The following is a 19,213-nucleotide window of genomic DNA, read 5'->3' on the forward strand; positions in this document are numbered from 1 at the left end:
ATGCCTTTTCTTTGATAAGCAGATACTTTCCCCATTCATTAACCTGCATCAGTACGTAAGTTTAGTTTTGCTCCTGTGTGGGAATACGCTTCTCACACATTCTCTCACATAGAGAGGGGATAGCCTCTCCACTGCAGCTCCTTGGAGATGGGGGCACCCCTGAGAGCTTCAGTGCATCCTAATTAAAGGGAGAATCACTGGGAAATTGGGAAGCTGAGGGGAGAATCAGGAGTATAACAGGGGTGTATGCTATTTCCAGACTTGCCATCCACATGTGCAATCTCTGACTCCACGAATTCACTGGAAGAGCCGTGCATCACCATGCTTCCACTAGAGGGCGCCACGGCACACATGTAGAAGAAGCTCTCCCCAGACACTAAGGAATGTGGCCTGGAGCCAGGGCAGGGGGACCCCAGGAATGATGGCTTACTAAGGGTAAGAGCACAGAGTGTATTCCTCATTAAAGGGAGAGGGCCTTTAGGTGCATGACTTTTAAAATCCCTTTGGGAATGAAGGAAGAAGGAAGAGGAGAAAGAAGCTCAAAGCAAAAGAACAACTGTGTGACCTGCAGAAGTACCCAGTGTTCTCTTTGCTCCCATTAAAATGCATCACAACAGGACACACCCAGCAATACTGGGAGATGGCTGCCAGACGGAACCCAAGTATGGCCCGTCCAGTCCTTACCATCCAGGACTTGTTCTGGAGTTAGGTCATCGACGTGGGCTGGACACGTGGTGGAGAAACCCTTAGACGAGCAGCTGCAGGTCCCCTGCAACAGATGGATGGGATGACTGACAAGATGCACATCCCTTCCATGACAGCCTCTCCCTGATGCCAGCTGCTGTCACCGCCCGCTTTATTTATTTCTCACTGCCAAGTGTAGTCAACACATTTTTTTCTTCACTGTTTAATCTGTTAATTCATCTGAGCATTTTGAGGGTGTAGTCGCTTGATTTTATCCTAGAGAGTGTGTGAGTCACACACAGAGAGGAGCAGAACCTCCAAGGGTCCCTTTGGCTTGTCATCAATTATGTGGCAGCTGTAGGTTCTGCCTGTGGGAGACATTCTGTGCCTCCCTCCCCGTGGATGGACATAGGAAACCCCAGCGGCAGCCAGACACTTAAACCAGAGGCATAAATAATGCTGCCATATCATAATCATGACCATTTGAATGTGAGCAATGCCTGTTCTTAAGAAGCCCAGAGCACATTTATAATACTTTATCTCACTTATCTTCACATCCCTAAGAAATAGAAGCAGAGGTCATTAGCTTCATGTTCCATGTGAAGAAGAAAAAAATACTAAAAAAAAGGAGGAATTAAATAATTTGCCTAGGATGACACAGTTTGTTCACTTCGCAGCACAGACATAAAACTGGGTCTCCTGATGTGCTGAAGTGGTCTCTGCTGGTTGGTACTTTTTGCCTTCATCATTTTTATGTTATAGCACCCAAGGAGGCCTCTTCTTAGTTTTCACTTACCACTGAAATTCAGGTTTAATTAGGGAATATTAATGTTGAAATGAAGCTCAACCAATTGCTCTTAAAACAGCCTAACCTTACAGAATAAGACACTCACTTCTATGTTGCACCAAACCGCACCAAACTGGTGTGTAATCTGGCATGTAATACTTGCAGACCATTTAAAGCTAGTTGTTTCATTTTGGCTAAAGCATCTCTGTAGGAGGAGGCTTCAGAATGTGTTCATCGAAATCTTCTGCAAATGGTCCCAGAACAAAGACACTGATTCTGGTGGCGAGAGCCTGTGTGAGTAGCCATGTCTGGAGTGGCAGCCCCGTGCTGTGTGCTCCTTCTCACCCAGGCCAGGGTCCTTCCCTGGGCAGACACCTACCTCACTGCCTTTCCTTTGGCTCTGGATGTTTTTCATCTTGCGCACCAAGGTTAAGTACAAGCCTGTGCCAAAGCAGTTCTTCAGGAAGAGTGGGGTGCCTGAGCAGTAGAGCCTTCCCTGGGCAATGATGGCAATGCGGTCCCCAAGGAGGTCGGCCTCGTCCATGTGGTGAGTGGACATGATGATGGTTCTGCCTGCAAGGTAGGGGCCAGGGCAATCACCAGGCCTGCCCTGGGTTGGGCATTGTTGGTAAAGGGTGTACAGCAATTTCCTGGCTATATAGTTGCAAAAATCAGGAGTTAACTAAAAAAAAAAACCCAAGGGAACTAATTCAGCAGCAAATTCCAGCATATTAGGACAATAATAACTAACATTTCATAGCTTCCTACATACTGTAAAGCATTGCCACACACAGTGTCTCTGTATCCAGCATAGGATCTGATTCAAATAAATCTCTATATTAGGGGCTCATGTATTATGGTCAGCATCTAGGGAGTTTCATATGTACATTTTCTGGATCATTAAGCTCTGGATTTATACTCTTCATAAAGAACACACACGTGCATACTCTCACTAACTGGAGATGTCATTAACAGAAAACAGCAGGCCGGGCACGGTGGCTCATGCCTGTAATCCCAGCACTTTGGGAGGACAAGGCGGGAGGATCACCTGAGGTCGGGAGATCGAGACCATCCTGGCTAACACGGTGAAACCCCGTCTCTACTAAAAATACAAAAACAATTAGCTAGGCGTGGTGGCGGGCACCTGTAGTCCCAGCTACTCAGGAGGCTGAGGCAGGAGAATGGCTCGAACCCAGGAGGCGGAGCTTGCAGTGAGTGGAGATTGCGCCACTGCACTCCAGCCTGCGCGACAGAGCGAGATTCTGTCTCAAAAAAAAAAAAAAAAAAAAAAGAAAAGAAAGAAAGAAAATAGCAATGAGGATTTCAGGATGACAAACCCTCAGAGAAAGGCACGGGGCAACGCTGTGTGAGTAGAGCAAGGGGGAAAGCTCTGGCTTGACCACGGGGTTGAACCGTGCTGTTACCTCTATGGGCACTCAGCTCTGCTTGCTGTCTCTTCTGATCTGAGCCCCTTGTCTGAGAGGTGCCATGACAGAGGAGCCACTTCCATCTGTGGCCACCCTCTGGAGCACTGAATGCCCAGCAGGTCACCCTCACACTGGTCCTGAGTGGTCATCTGACAGCTATGGAGCTTCTAGGTATGTTTGCAGGTGACCTGGGTCCCCATGGTCAGAGAAGACATTCACCTAGAGTAGCATCCATTATTCCAGACAGAAGGGCTGCAGGTCAAGAGAATTTTCTAAAATATTTTGGGAAGTAGGTTGCATCATCAGTGATTCTCTGTTTATATTTGTAAAAACCTCAGGAGGCTTTAGCTGGAACTTAGATTCACCAAGTCACTGATAAACCCCCTTCTGAGTGTAGTCATTGTGGTTCCTGTACTCAGCTACAAAATGGCAGGTGAGAGAGTGGGGACCACAGCTAGGGCTGCAGTGAGAGCCCAGCCCAGGAGACTGAGCAGCAGCTGTTACCTGAGCGATACTTCAGGAGCAGATCCCAGATTGAGCGTCTCGAGTAAGGGTCCACCCCAGAGGTGGGTTCGTCCAGAATCACCACCTTGGCATCTCCCACAAAGGCAATGGCAACCGACAGCTTTCTCTGCATGCCACCTGGAGGCACAAGAAGGACGGGAGAGTTAAGGGGCTGTGGAGGGTGAGGAAGAGAAAGGCCCAGGGCAAGTGGCATTGTGGGGGTACCTTAACCCAGCAGTGGTTTGGTGCTGCCTCTTAGATGTTTATAGCGTTCAAAGCCCTAATACTGTTCAGGCTTTGTAAATGCAGAAAGGGCAACCCTCACCTCCTCGGATCAGACCCTTTGAAGACTGTTCAAGCACATCAATCTCAGGACAAATAAAACCCAGGCTGCTGTGAGACAGTGCTCTGCAGGGAAAATGATCTGGGGGCTGCTCTTAGATTTTTGGTGTAACTTCACAGAGGTGTTCCCACCCTTAGAAGCTCTCCTGCTCCAAGCCTCCCCTGCCTCCTGGGTGCACTGGGGAGCCATGGATTTGCCATCTGTGGCCCTGTCTCCATCCAGCTCTGAGCACCTGATAGGTCCTGAGCCTCTTCATTCCGCTTGTGGTGGAGGCCTGTGTCCTCCAACATGGCTTCCATCTCCAGCTGGGCCTCCTCCTGGGACTTTCCTTTCAGCTGGGCATAGAACAGCATGTGCTCAGCCACCGTGAGGCTAGGAGGATGGGACAACGAGAAAAGCAGTGGCTTAGCACTTCCACTTCCAGCAGCTGATCTTACAGAAATAATTGAGGACAAGTATTCTTGATTTGGCAATCAAGATGCTCACTGTGGTGGTGTTTATGATACAATACAAAAATAGCAGACCCTGCTTAAATATCTAATAAGAGGATGGCTTACATAGTTCATGCATACAATGGAATAATCTGTAAACATTAAATATTATTTTATAGAAGAATATGTAATGACATGAAAGATGTTCCTGATATCTTATGTTTAAAAAAGCAATCCTTTTTTTTGAAAAAAAAGTCAGGTTATAAAATTGTATGCATAGTTTTACTATTCTTTATCATTTTGAAGTATATGTGTTTATCTATCTATACATGTATAGGAGAAAGTTCTAAAAAATTATATACCAATGTTATAACTCAGCGGTTATCTCTGAGTAGTGAAATTACAGGTGACTTTTATTTTCAATTTTTTGTTTACCTATATTTACTTCCTCCCTCCTTCCCTTTCCTTCCTCCTTCCCCTTCCCTTTTCCTCCCTCCTGTTCCCTTCCTTCTCCCCTCCCTCCCTCCCTCGCTTCCTTCTCCCCTCCCTCCCTCCCTTCTTTCCTTCCTTCCTTCCTTCCTTCCTTCCTCCCTTCCTTCCTCCCTTCCTTTTTTTTCTTTCACAATGACTATGCGTAGCTTCTTAGATAAGAAATAAAAGATATCTTATTGGGGAAAAAAAGTAACTGAAAAGCCCCCTGAAAAGTTTGCCTTTCAGGCCGTGGCTTCAACAGGAAAAAGGAACAATGGTTCTCCTGTCTTTGGTCCCAGAGAGGAAGTACTTCAGGGCTGCACAAGGGGCTCGGGGATCGATCAGCTGCTCTGTCAGAGCGAAGGCAGCCTCACCCTTCTGAGGGAGGAGCCCTCAGCTCTGAGCAGCAGAGGCAGAGTCCCATATTCTCAGGGACAATTCTCACTGCAAGTAGGACAAAGGACTTTAAACATAGGGGAAACCAAATAAGAGTCTGTATCTCTGCCTGTGCCCAGGCCTGGCACCCCTGAGCTGGGCTCTAGAGAAGTGTGCTGGGGGCAGAGGTGAGGAGAGGGGATGGGGCGGTCTCAGTTCCTGTGTCGCTTACTGGTGGAACAGGATGTTGTGCTGTGGACACATGCCAAGGCTCTGCCGGACTGCATCCAGGCTGGTTTCAATGTCCCTTCCCCCAACGAGCACAGTCCCAGAGGTTGGTGGCAACAGACCCGTCAGGATGGACCTGCAGAACACAGGCGTCAGTGGCAGAAGAGATGGCCTTTAGCAACATGCCTTAGGAGGGCCACCCCCACACCAGGTTCAGTGAGAACTCTCACAGATTCCTGCCTGGGGCTGTCAGTCAAACTCAAACCCCTATTAGCTGTGGGGCCCCCTTAGCACCAGTGTATACATCCAGGCCCTAATGCAGAGGGCCACCTCTGCCATCCTTCTCTGCTTCTACTTGTTTCATGGTGCTCCCAGGCCAACGCCGAGGGCCTTTGGGATTCCCAGCCTCAAAATGTTCACGTGCAGTCACAGGTGTCCCCAGCTCAGCCATCACGGAGCCTGGTGTTGGAGAGGATCAATAAAAGGTGTTCGGTGCATGACTCGAGGCGTTGCCTCCTGGGTGAGCAGTCATGGCTATTGAAAAGCCAGGTGTCATCATCATAAAGCCCGGGTAAGGTCTTGATGAAGGCCAGAACCCTAAGCAGTCCTAGGCATTTGCTGATTAATTGATCGAAGCCAGGCATGGGAATTACCACCACCAATATTAGCTTTGGATCCAAAACATAAAAAGCCTCAGAGCAATGGTGGGCTTTTTTTTTTTTTTTTTTTAAATGGGAACTATGACTCCCATGTCCTTAGGTTGTTGTAAGGCTTAAATGAGTTAATACACTTACAACATTAGAACAGCGCCAGCATAAAGTAAAACTCAAAAATATTATTACTGTTAGTATTAAACATTGTTTTAACCCCTGGGGGAAGTTGCATGTCAGCAGCCGATGAAGTAATGTGTTTGCCTTTGCGGAGCCCTGGGGTCCTGGAATTTGCTTCCAGCTCTCTGACCATATCAGTTAGCATGGAGAGAAAGCAGATGGATGCAGGGCCGCCACACCCAGCTCTGTCCCTGAGTTCTGATACCATCTCAGGCTATCTGAACTTGTCCTGATGGAGAAGCCGAAATCTCCGCGATCAACCACTAGAGGGAAACAGAACCAATTAGAATGGCACCGGCCCCACATTCCATTCACACTGAACCGCCCTAGAGAACATTCCATCACAGGGTGTACACGCTGTTGTTCCTTCCTGGGGCTCTCCAAAGGACTTGAAGACTGTGTCACGTGGGTTCGCTGCCCCCTGCGAGGTCCGTGTCTGCTGCTCCTTGGGAAACCATGGCGGGCCGTGTTCTCCTCTCAGCAGATGGCGCTCGGGTCCCTTGGAGGAGAGTGGGGCGCCTGCGGAGCTGAGAGATCCGCGCAGAGCCCCTTTGCCTTCCCTGCCCTGACCTTCTGTTACCAGGCGGTTACTCCACAAGCCCCTCTAGAGACTGATTCTTTTTTCACTTTCTCCAGAACGACCACTAACCCTCATCAGCTGATGTTGAAGCCTGCCTAATGATTGGTAGGAAAAGGAATGTTCCTTGAAAATAGCAGGACTCGGCCTGGTGCGGTCGCTCACGCCTGTAATCCCAGCACTTTGGGAAGCTGAGGCGGGCAGATCACCTGAGGTCAGGAGTTCGAGACCAGCCTGGCCAACATGGTGAAACCCTGTCTGTACTAAAAAAAAAAAAAAAAAAAAAAAATACAAAAATTAGCTGGGCATGGTGGTATGCACCTGTAGTCCCACCTACTTGGGAGGCTGAGGTGGGAGAATCGCTTGATCCTGGGAGGCGGAGGTTGCAGTGAGCCAAGATCGCACCACTGCCCTCCAGCATGGGTAATGGTTACTATCTCAAAAAAAAAAAAAAAAAAAAAGAAAAGAAAAGAGAAAGGAAATAGGAGGACTCTATAGCTTCCATGCACATGATGACAGTGGCCATGACTTGATCACCACCATGGACTGTTGAGATGGGGGGAAAGACTCAAGGTGTGAGAAACAAGAGGCAACTGTGGTGCCTGGCTTTTGCCCCCGCTGAGCCATGACAACTTGGTGGCTTCAGGAAAGTCACTTCAACTCTCTGAATGAATGTCCACTTCCCCGGCACACAAAAGGGGCAATAAACGTATTCTACCTCCCCATCAAGAGAATACATATTAGTGATCTTTGAATACTGCAGAAAGCTTTTACACATTTTTGGGGCCGCAAATATTTGTCACTAAAATTTGTGGGAAAGAGTAGACAGCCGCTGATAGGGAAAGACTAAGCCAGGAAATGACAGGCTAGCATGGCAGCCAGCTTCTCTGCTGGAAGACTCACAAGGTGGTGGTTTTCCCAGCTCCATTGTGGCCCAGGAATGCGGTGATCTGGTTCTCGTAGAAGGTGATGTTCAGACGGTCCACAGCTGGCCGGCCACAGGGCTCAAAAATCTTTACCAGATTCTTCACGCATACCCCAGGAACCCACCCTGGATGCTCACGTTCAAAGAAGGAGTCTTGGAGGAAAAAAAATGAACATGATGTAAACATAATGCCTAATTACATGGCCCCAGGGCTCTGTCTCCAGGCCCTTGTATTCTGCCTATAACGTCACCTGCCCCTGTGGCTTCGGCTATCACCGTTGCAAGGAAGACTCCAGAATAATAATAGTAATACTAGCATCAAACGTTTATACAGCACCTCCTATATGCCAGGCACTGCTTCGACTGCTTTACACAAATTACCTCAATGTACTCTTACAATGGTCCTAAGGGGTAGACATTTATTAGGCTCATTTCCATAGTCCAGGAAACCTTAGACACAGAGACATCAAGCGTCCTATTAAGGACACATAGGCATGAGTGGCAGAGTTGGGATTTGAACCCAGAGCCCATGCTTGTCAGAATGCACTCACTGTCTATAGGGAGAGTTGGCCCCAAGCTCAACCTTGGTCCTAGGCCCTCATTGCCAACAGTCCACGGGGCATTTCCTCATGAATTTCTGGAAGCGGCTTAGGTTCTTCATCTTCCCAAAACAACATCTGCCTTCAGATTCTCCCATGACCTTTTCTGGACCGCCATTCTCTTAGTCACCTTGGCTTGAATCTTTGAGTTGACTTTGACTAAGGCTTCTTGCTCCTCAGAACTCCCAGGTTTTCCAATAGGTGGGTAGGGCAGTCCACGCTTCCTCATCACCATCCCTCAAACCCCACTCCCCTCCTTCTTCCTCCCATGCCCCCTCCAGTGCAGACCCTCACCGAGTGCTCTCACTTCTCCCTGACCTCCCATCTATCCCTGCTTCATTTCACCCTATATGGCACAGCTTAATTTGTCATCTTAATACTGTAGCTCTAAGCATTTCTTTCCCTAGGGGGAAAAAGTCCACTGTTTCTTCTATCCGTGCCTCCTGGCCTTGCCTGCAACTGAGGTGGAACCAGTCCCCAGCCTCCTGATTTGGCTTAGACTTTCCACTGTGGGAGGAGGATCTTGCCAGAGGCATGGTGTACTGCAGTCTAACTCTGGGAGGGGCTGCAGGTCTCTGGCTTTAGTTTTATGAAATGGCCCCTGGGGTGGGCTGGAGGGATAAAGGCCAGACCCTCTCCTGCCCTGTCAGGCAGAGCCCAGGGGCTGTGCTGCCTGTCTAAACCCAGAGCATTTTGGCCACAGAGAAATGCGTATGCTTAGGGAATGAAAAGCCTTGGGAGAAATACAGAACTAGTTTAAGAGAGAAGATGAGGGCAGCAAAAGCCAGGAAAACAAAACTTGTAAATCTGGGTCGTCAGTTTAGGGATTATTAGGTAACTTCCACTGTCAGGAAAGGCTTCTGATGGTTTCAATGAATGGCCTTCTAGATTTGTAAGCCGTAAGTGAAGTGTAGTCAGCTCCCCTGGAGTCTCTTTCCCCCTGGACACAGAAGCATTTATTTTTGTCTTTCCTTATAGCTCATATCCGCTTTAAGTCCCAGTGACCAAAGTTATTGTTCTTGCTAAATCCTCGGAAGTCAGCACATTTGTGCAACTCACTTGGGATTTGCCTAACAAGGGCACAGGCACACTACATAGTTGGTATTTGCTTTCTCCAGGAAATATGCGCTAATGTCTGGGCTGAACCATTCATTCCACACACATGCAGATGGACCTCTGAGAAGGGATCTGGTTTAACACTTGTCCACAGAGAGAGTCAGTTTCCTAGGCTTCTTTCCACCCTTGCCATGAGATGTTTTGCTCTGGCCCTCTGCAGTGCTTAGAGCCTTTTCCTCGCCTCTGCTGTGTATTCTTTATCGGGGTTTTACCGTGTATTCCTTCTGGGTGCTCTGGATCCTCCGTTTCCTCTGTTAGGGGCTCGGTCTTTTCCAGGGCTCTTTCTTCTCTGGTTGAACACCCTGCACCAATCAGAAGCCAGTGTTACTCTACCACCGGGAGCTGAGAACGAGCAAAGGCAGGAAAGGAGGGGAGAGGTACAGGGAGCAAATGAGTTTCCTAGCCAGCCTTTGACCTGCTCTAGGACTGTGAGGTACTCAAGCCTGATCACACAATCTTTGCCAGAGGAAGATTTATAACAGGAGCTTCAGACTTGGAGAGTTTCACCTCCTCCTCTCAATGTGCCATGAGGAGCCCACAGTTTCAGAAACTGTGATTTTAAAAAAATTAAGAAAACCAGGTTTGAATTTGAAATGAGTTAATTTTCTTTAGCCCACCACTGGCACATTTTACTCCAATACAAAACATGTGAAAGTCATGGTGAACCTTGAGTAAAAGTCTATTCAGGGGCCGGATGTGGTGGCTCACGCCTGTAATCCCAGCACTTTGGGAGGCCAATGTAGGCGTATCATGAGGTCAGGAGTTCGAGACCAGTCTGACCAACATGGTGAAACCCCGTATCTACTAAAAATACAAAAATTAGCCGGGTGGGGTGGCGCTCACCTGTAATCCCAGCTACTTAGGAGGCTGAGGCAGGAGAATCGCTTGAACCCGGGAGGCGGAGGTTGCAGTGAGCCGAGATAGTGCCACTGCACTCCAGCCTGGCCGACAGAGTGAGACTCTGTCTCAAAAAACAAAAACAAAAACAAAGTCTATTCAAAGTGCTATGACGGGCAGCCAGCTTAAACTACAGCTTGAATATATGGTTTACCTGAGAAATTCACCTAGATGGGCATTTAAGTATCTTGGAATTAACACCAGGGTTGAGCCTGGTGATGGTATTAATACAAGCCTGGACAAATTGTGAAGTGTGGTATAAACACACGCATTGAACACACACACACACACACACACAAACAGACACTTTTTGGCAAACTTGGCATTTGGTTTAAAAAGATATCAGGACATCCTGGAAGGGGAAGAGGAGCAGAAGGGCCAGTCAGTCTGCCAGAGAGGAAGGCAGGGGCAGGAGGAAACCACTGTCACCAGGCATCCAAGGGCTCTCGGCCTCAAGTGCACATACAGGAGCAGGGCGAGATTTCTCAATGCAACAGCCACCCAGGGCCCCTCTGTCCCCCACCCTCTGAAAATGTGCAGGATGTGTGCTGGAGCAGCAGGTAGTGGGCCTGCTGGTCAGGGACCTGCTGCCTCTAGTACTGTTCTTCTATTTCTGCTTCCTGAAGGACTTTTGAATCTATGCCCCACAGTTCCTTTGATCACTTTACTAGCTATCAAACTGCACAAATAGGTAATGAAATAGCAAGAGGAAACATCCTCCTGAAGAGTTTAATCACTGGAATGAGTTCCTGCCAGGCAATGCATGTGCATGTTCCAGATTTTGTCCCAGGTGACCAATAGGGGAAGATACTGGATGTCTCCTGGGCTCCATTTTTTATTTTTTAATCTGTGAAAGGAGGGAGGTTGGGTGGAGACACTCAGCTCTTTTCTGGTTTTAGAGAGTTTTAGAAATCCATTTCAGTCCAGCCTATGAGACAGGTGAAAAATATTTGCCTTCCGTTGGCAAACATATTTGTGATTCACTTTTGAAGGAGCATATTTTCCTTATGATTTCTTTTTTTCTTAAGAGGCAGAGTATCTGTTGGGATTGTAGAGAAAAATAAAATGCCCACAAGCCCTGTGTTGAAATTTTTCATTTATTATATGATAATTTTATTATAGTAAAAAATTAACAAGTTTACAGGTAGACAAGTCAATACAATGAAAAAATCCTGAGCTGTTAAAGTGTTGTTTGTTTGACCCAGTGAAAACAAAAGCAAAAAACAAAAGAAAAAAAGAAAAAAAAAGACTAATCCCCCAGAGAAAACAAACATCCATCTCAGTGCTTGCAGGATAAGTCCTGGCCCAGGCCCAATAATACAAAGTAAAGAATAGGTAGGTGAGCAACAAACAGATGGGAGAGTACTTCAGCTCTAGGGGAGTCCCCCGCTTTCACCCTGGAATTTCTTTGCTTTCTCAGACCTCACAAAAGAGTCTGTGCTTTTCCCTGCTTCTAGAACTTTCTCTAGCTAGGCCTCCTGTTTGGTTCAGTAGTAAAGGTGCCTTTTACCTAAGATGTGTTGTGGGCAAATGCCCTTTCAGCCTTTTTCCCCACCCCTAAGAAAGATCAACACCAGGAGAATCTGAGGTATTGCCCTGAAGATAACAGCTCTGCCTCAGCCCCAGGAGGAGTCTTCATCTTGGGAGAATAAACTAATTTATATTTTGAAAAGGCAGAGAAGAATAAAAAGGCACAAGGAAGGCAATGGGAGATGAATGCAAAGGTTCCTTCATGATTCCCTGGATTTCTGCTTTATACTGAAAAGCTGCAAAAGTTCTTTGAACCCTGAAGTGGCTTGGCCTTTTTTAAATAGGGCAATTTAGTCTACTGGACAAGGTGTACAGGACCCAGGGCTTCATCCATGATCAGCCATTCATGATCACACAGGGCCCAGCAACTTGTGAAAGGTGGTCCCCCAGACGCTGCAATGCCCATCAAGGGGCAGAGCCCCAGGAGGCAGCTGACTCATCAGGAATCACACCGTTTACATAGAGGGCCACCTCTGTGATCCATATACATCTTGCACAGAGCCCAAGGAGTTGATTTCAAACATTAAGATTTGTGTTTTAAAGGACTCACCTTCACCGCCAAGCCAATACGACTCTTGTAGAAGAAAGTACCAAGGAAGTGGGGTTCCATAGTCTCCTAAAAATAGAGACAAATAAACAGAGAAAGTCGAAGGAGTCTCCCTATCCTACCTTACCGCAGTTCTATAAGATCTAGAGTTTATTTACCTGAACCTCAAATTGTAACTATAGATATTTGCAGTTATTATTACATGGCTATTCTCAGGCTCCCAGAAAGACTACCCCTTCCAACATATTTTTATCCACACAGTCATGTTTTTGGGGTGTTATAAGCAACAGCAAGACCAATAATCTTGGTTGACATCAGTTTTCCAAGAAAACGTTTCATGAGAGAATTAAATCAAGTCCTTTTCCAGGAGTCAGATAATAATAATGGTGATCATCACTAAGATGTACTGGATATTCTTTCTGTGGCAGGCATTGCTGTGAGTGCTTTCCATGTGTTAAATAATCTAAACCTCAAAACAACCCCAGGAGATAGGTAGTAATATTATTCTTGTGAGAAAGGAAACAGAGGCACACTGAGATTCAGCCATCTGCCCCCCGTCACAGATAGTGAAACAGAAATGTAGGAATTCCAACACAGGTAATCCAGTTCTAATGTCAGTGTTTTTAACCCTACACCCCCATCCCTCATTCTACTGGATCTACCAGGGTTCCAAGAAAAAGACTCCCAAATTTCTAGTCCAGTTCTCTTTGAAAGTTCTGCTCCCTACAAAATGTTGATTTTGTAAAATCATGGTCTCGGCTTTTTTTAAGAGTTGCCGTATGTTTCATGGCCTTTGCTGCCACTGGACTGTCTATTCCTCGGGGCAGGTCTGGATCTTTATCTCCACCGCTCTGTTCCCAGAACCTGGCCCTGCTGAGCCTCATGCACAGGTGCTGCTCAGTAAATAGCTGTTGAATAAATGAAAGCTTTAGCTTGGCTAAAATAAAACTTTTGAATTATGCACAAATTTCAATTTTAATCAACTAATTTTCATCTATTATATCTGTTTCCAACAATCTAGTAGGATAGAAAAAACAGACTAAGTTCAAATGTCTTGTTCAAAGTCACTGTCATGGGTTGAATTTGGTCTCCCTCCAAAAAGACATGTTGGGGTCTGTGGCATAACACAAAATATACTTGGTCTTTGTCCCCAGCTCCTGTGCAGGGCACAGATCTCCTAAAACCCTTGGAATTTCCTGGCAGAAAGGAGTGTCTTTTTTTATTCATAATAAGCCCCTTCCTCTACCACATCTGAGTTTATGCTAATGATGTGACTCAGGGTAGAGCCCCAAGATAGCTGCAGTTTCTGGGGACTGGTCACCAGAAACACCACACATGTGAAGAATGGAACTTTCAGTCCCAACCCTCAACCTCCAATGGGGGAGTATGGAGCTGGAGATAGGGTTATAAAAACTCTCGAACAACAAGATTTGGAGAGCTTTTGGGTTGCTGAACACTTTGAGGTGCTGGGAGAGTGGTGCGTCTAGAGAGAGCATAGAAACTCTTCCCCCGACCCCATACTGTGCTTCTCTTCCATGTGGCAGTTCCTGAGCTGCATCCTTCATTTTAAAGCTGTGATTGTAAGTACAGGATTTTGGCAAAAGTGTGGGTAGCCTGGGCACCACATTTCCAGCTGGCATCTGAAGACGGGGAAGCCTTGTGGGACTGAACCCGTGGAGTCTGTGTGAATTCTGGATAGTGTCAGAATTCAATTGAATTCTTGGACAACCCATTAATATAGGAGAATTGGTTGGTGCCAAAACAACAACAACAAAAAACCAAAACACACATTTGGTGTCAGAAGTGCTGTCAAGAAAAAAGATACCAGAGTGCTAACCCCAGGTACCTCATAATGTGGCCTTGTTTAGGAACAGGGTCATTGCAGATGTGATTAGTTGAGATGAGGTCACATGGGAGCAAGGTAGGCACCTAATCCAATCCAGTTGGTATCCTTATAAGATGGCCATGTAAGACAGGCAGAATGCCATGTGCAGACGAAGGATCAGCAGGAAGCATCTACAAGTCAAGGAGTGCCCAAGCACCTACAGGTTTCAGAGGGAGCATGGCCCTGCCAACACCTTGATTTTGGACTTCCAGCCTTCAGAGCTGTGAGATATAAATGGCTGTTGTCTAAGCTGCCCAGTTAGTGGTATTTTGTTATGGCAGCCCTAGTAAATGAATGCACGCTTGCCACTAGGATGCAAACCCAGGCCTCCTGACCCAGTCTAGAAGCCTTCCTCCTATTCAGGGTGGCTGCCTACCTATTTCTGCCAACAAAGGCTGCCCTGAGATGATCTGAGAGCTGTGAGTTTGTCCCTCCCCATGGACTGGACCAGCCTCACCATCCCCTGCCTGCTTTTGGCTACAGCATCAAGAGCCAGGCATGGCTGCCACAGCACAAGGCTATTGGCTGACTTGGAGACCACTCAGAGGAAGATGGGGCAGCTCTAGTTACCAGAAAATGCTAATTTGAAGGAAAATTTGATTTTCTACCAAGCAAATACACGACCGTGCAAACAGCCAATTTTCAGAAGCTGATTTTCCATGCTACAGATTACTTAGATATTTATTCAGTGCCCACCAAAGGTCAGGCACTATTCTGGGCACTGGGACTGTCACAGTTAACAAAATAGACCACATGCATGCTCTCTGGGCTCATATTCTACTAAGGGCAGAGAGTCAGTAAATACATGCATAAGATACATCATTGTATCAGATGGTGAAGAATGTTCCCCAAAATAAAGTAGGGTAAGGGGACAGGAACCCTGGAGGAATGTTGTTTACAGAGCCATAGTTATGTAGATCTCTTCAGTCTGGAAAGATCCCTGTGATAATGGGACATTTGAACAGAGACCTTAACAAAGTAAGGAAGCAAGCCTGCAGATATGAGGGGCGGGTTGCAGGTTGTGGGGAGAGAAATGTGCTTCTGGCATGAGAACAGCAGGTGGAAAGGCCCTGAAGAGGAAATGCGCTCGGTGTATTAAACAGTCAGTAAGGAGGCCGACGTGGCTGGAGCAGAGGAACATGGAGGAGTAGGGAAAATCGTAAGATGAAGAAGAGAGTTGGAGGCCGGATAATGAAGCAGCTTGGAGGCCAGGGTTGAGACACTGGGTTTTACTCTGAAAGAGAGGAAAAGCCAGTGCAAGCATTTGACAGAGAGGGCTGACACCACATGACCTTGATTCTGAAAGGATCTCCCTGAATACAGTGTGCAGAATGGACTGATGGGAGGTGGTAGTGGAAGGAAGAGACTGGCATTGGGAAGGTTGTGGTGGAGGTGGTGACAAGAGATCAGATTCTGGATTTGTTTCTCAAGTAGAGCCAGTAGGATTTGCTGGTGGATTTTTAACTTCTAGATTTAAACTTCAAATGCTGGTTCTGACAAAGAGCTTGGAAGAAATGAAATTTAAACTAGATGAATGGAGAGGGCTGGGGATCTGAAGAACTCAATTACCTTTACCCTATAGAGGAGGATGCTTACCTGGAAACACCTGATCAAGGTACCAAGCGAGTAAGCCATAGACAGCAGCATCAAGGAGCATCATCTGCATGGACAGCAGGAAGCTGAATTCGTCCCCTTCCGTGGGACTGTTCCCGATGTTGCTCCACTGCAGCCCCAGGCCTTGCTCTTCAAAGCGAACCAGGTACTCAGTGCCAAATCCAAATGCCACCGGAGACAGTAAGCTCTGCAGTGAGGCGGAGAGGGCACAGAAAAAGAGCAGTGCCTTTTATCCAATGCAACAGCACCCAGATGCCCTCGAGGTAGAGGGGAGGGCCAAAAGAGGGTCCCCATTGTCTCTCAGTGTAAGGTCAGCTCAGGAGGGTGAAGGCAGTCTTTCCCTTGACGGCCAGGGGGAGTTCAGAGTGTCTCTCTGCAAACAAGAGAGTCTCTAGCTATACAGTCACAAAAAACATGAAACAATTCTCAGCCCAGCCCTAATCCACAGTTGCTAGACCTATAGCTTCCTAGTGATCTATGTACCCAAGAAGATGGCCTCAAATTCCATCTGCCTACTCAAGGATTACCAAAATAGCCCAACTCTGCCCACAGATGAGTCATAAGGATTTCTTGCCACTTATCCATTGTGATCATTTTAGAAAATTGGGTACTACAAATGGCAGCAATTGATTTCTTATTTAACCTAAGAAATGAAAGGCAGATGCCCTGACACCTCTGGAGCCTAATAAGTGTGAGTCGTGAGAACAAGTCAGACTTTCTGTCTTTTCCCAGTGAGGGCAGGTGGTTGTCCCTTCTTGACTCTACAGCACAGAGACAGGGAGACTCCGGAGGACAAGGGGAACTGCACCCTCCAGGGCCAGAGGCTGATTAGAGGGTGGAAATGGCCCATTTGAAAACAATTAGAGAAAAGACAGTGCTCTTTGTCTGGGTCTGGGAATTGTGAACTAGGAAGTTTCTCAGGCCATCAGAAGTCAGCTTCGGGAGTCCTCTCCTGGCCAGCGAGCCTGACTCTGTGGACAGTCTCATTTCTGCACTTCTTTCTGCAAACATTGGTAGAGCATGTTAAAGATACTTGTGGAAATACTCCAATTCAAGTTTTTTTGAAGCAAAACAAAAACCTTTAATTAATGGAAACATCTCTTTAGACAGATAGTAAAGTGGCAAGCTCCCTCCCTTCTGATTCTTCTCAAAGAGTAGGAAAGGAAAACTAGTGAAATGGGCTGCTGGCTCTCTCTTGTGAGTAAATAAAGGGACCCATGAGTTGAACTGGTTTTTTAATGACTTTCCAGGGCAGATGAATCAAGCAGGCGTGGTGAGGAGTCACTGTTGCATCGCTCGGGGTGAGGACTGCTCCCACTTTTGCCCCTGTACATTTTAGCCTCACGTGAACTTTTTAACCTTAGGTCAAAGGCAAAGTGGACCCCCTCAGAGGGCAGGCTGGGCCTCCAGGACTGCTACGGACCCTTCCAAGGAAACGTGTTGTAGGACAGGGGCCAGCCCAAGGGCCTCACCACAGCCTTCTTCAGCTCAGCGGTCATGCGGTCCTGCCAGGCGAAGCACAGGATGTGTGGCAGGTAGAGGGTGAAATAGATGACACCACTACAGGCTGCTGCCAGACTGGCCTTGGAGAAGAAGGTGCTGAGCAGAAAGCACAGCATGATGGTGGCAGTGGAGAAAGCCAACAAGAACAGGAAGAGGATGAATGGGTCGCTGTAATGTAGGATTCTTCCATGCTGAAACCAAGAGGCCATGCGTCAGTAACTCCTGCCCTTGGCCGGACGCCTTCTCATTCTGCCCTAAAGGGCTCTCTCCCACCAGCCTGCAGTTAGTGTCTAAATTTCTACGCACACTCCATGTGCTGAGTTCCTTTAATCCTAGGAATGCCATTTTCCCTGGGAGGAGTAGCACATTAGACTCCTAACAGTCATCAGTAATGTTAAAAAAATTAATTGGGAGACCATTAGGTTGAAACGGCCCCAGCATTCTGTGTTCCTACATCAGCAAACCAAAACCCAACTTAGAGAAACTTAACTAATCACAAACTGCCCACTAACCTGTAATCAGGGACTTTCCACTTGAACCAATCAAATATTTGCTTTGTTTTTCTTTGTCTTGCTTCCCTACCCCTCAGTGGGGCCCTGAACCACTTGTGATCTGGAGCCTCCTGTGAATCACTGTTTGCTGGAATCAACTCTAACATTTTAATGTGCCTAAGTTTCTCTTTTAATAGTATTTATTATGTGTTAAGTAAGCAAATCCTCGGTGAGAAGAGTGGTAATATGGAGAAATATAGCTGGGACAAGGGAGGAAGACCTGGGTAGGGGGTCTTGGAGCATCTCCAGGGCCCTGGATAAACCAGGTATATGGAAAACAAAAGAGGGAGATGGGAGGGAACTCCAGAGGAGCTTCAACATTTTGCCTGGGGCCTGGCCTGTCCTATGCCGTCATCTATACTTGATTTTCTGAGGTTTGCTACCCACACAGGTGAAAATACCAGTAATTAATCCAAATCACTTGGAAGTGGATTGATCCTCCCCATCCATGAATATCACACAAATATATTTCCTAGAACCTGCTGGCAGTACTCAGTAACTTTCACATTAACCAATGAATCAATCACTTTGGCTATGTAGAAAATAGGACCAAACTAGCAACTTTTGCTAGGGGAACTGCTATCCAATTACACTATAGGATAAACTGAGATTGTCAAAGGTATTAGACCTTCTTGGTTATCTTTTGCTGGAGGCATCCTATGAGGCACTTTACTCTCTGAACACGTAAATGAGTACATAGAATTCATCCTGTGCTCTTCCCAGGAACATAAAGGAACAAATAGGTCCATGTCCTAAATGAGTTCTGATCAGTTGGCAGTAGTTCCCTGGAGCTCTGGCTTCCTCTCATAGAAAAGAGACCAATGAGCTGTATCTGTGATGGGCATGCGAGAGCTGAGTGGAACGAATGTGCCATTTGTCTGCTGTGGCTGCCATTTCTCCTTTCTGCTCTCCTGCCTGTGGGTACTGACAGAACAGACTGAAGAACAGATAAAACAAATGGCAAAGGGGAGCGGGGCACAGAAGAGACCCACGCTTAACTGGAACCCAAATTTGAGGAAATCTAAATAAAAGTCTAAATTAGGACTCAGAGCTCCTGATTTTGTGTGTCACCCACACGCAGCTCCATAAAAGCAAGTCCATGGCTGAACATGTGGGTTTTGGATGGAATCACTTTAAGGTAGTTGTTGCAGTTCTCAGAAGAATGAAATCAATTTCTTTTTTATTTATTTATTTTTTTAGACAGAGTCTTGCTCTGTTGCCCAGGCTAGAGTGCAGTGATATGATATCAGCTCACTGAGACCTCCACCTCCTGGGTTCAAGGGATTCTCCTTGCTCAGTCTCCTGAGTAGCCGGGACTACAGGCATGTGCCACCGCACCTGGCTAATTTTTGTATTTTTAGGAGAGGCAGGGTTTCGCCATGTTGGCCA

General features: G+C 46.9%; 1 protein-coding gene across 2 annotated transcripts in view, besides 1 other annotated feature; it reads right to left on the minus strand.

Annotated features, from left to right (window-relative positions):
• Nucleotides 1–19,213, minus strand: part of ABCA4 (ATP binding cassette subfamily A member 4) — a 128,315-nt gene that overhangs the window by 46,525 nt on the left and 62,577 nt on the right. The window contains exons 15-24 of one of the 2 annotated variants that reach the window (NM_000350.3): nucleotides 17,243–17,464; nucleotides 15,753–15,957; nucleotides 12,275–12,340; nucleotides 9,510–9,599; nucleotides 7,561–7,735; nucleotides 5,255–5,386; nucleotides 3,978–4,117; nucleotides 3,403–3,540; nucleotides 1,851–2,044; nucleotides 685–769 (exon numbers count right to left, since the gene is read on the minus strand). In NM_000350.3, coding sequence (NP_000341.2) covers nucleotides 685–769; nucleotides 1,851–2,044; nucleotides 3,403–3,540; nucleotides 3,978–4,117; nucleotides 5,255–5,386; nucleotides 7,561–7,735; nucleotides 9,510–9,599; nucleotides 12,275–12,340; nucleotides 15,753–15,957; nucleotides 17,243–17,464 — 1,447 coding nt within the window. The remainder of the gene's footprint in view (nucleotides 1–684; nucleotides 770–1,850; nucleotides 2,045–3,402; nucleotides 3,541–3,977; nucleotides 4,118–5,254; nucleotides 5,387–7,560; nucleotides 7,736–9,509; nucleotides 9,600–12,274; nucleotides 12,341–15,752; nucleotides 15,958–17,242; nucleotides 17,465–19,213) is intronic. The other variant, NM_001425324.1, reaches the window with a different exon arrangement.
• Nucleotides 5,000–5,500: an enhancer, noted in NCBI's record as "H3K4me1 hESC enhancer chr1:94509914-94510414 (GRCh37/hg19 assembly coordinates)". NCBI's record gives its function as "activates a minimal SCP1, AML or CMV promoter by ChIP-STARR-seq in naive H9 embryonic stem cells {active_cell/tissue: H9 hESC(naive)}" and the evidence as "EXISTENCE:reporter gene assay evidence [ECO:0000049][PMID:30033119]".

The sequence above is a fragment of the Homo sapiens genome, chromosome 1 (assembly GCF_000001405.40).
Source record: "Homo sapiens chromosome 1, GRCh38.p14 Primary Assembly".
NCBI lineage: Eukaryota > Metazoa > Chordata > Mammalia > Primates > Hominidae > Homo > Homo sapiens.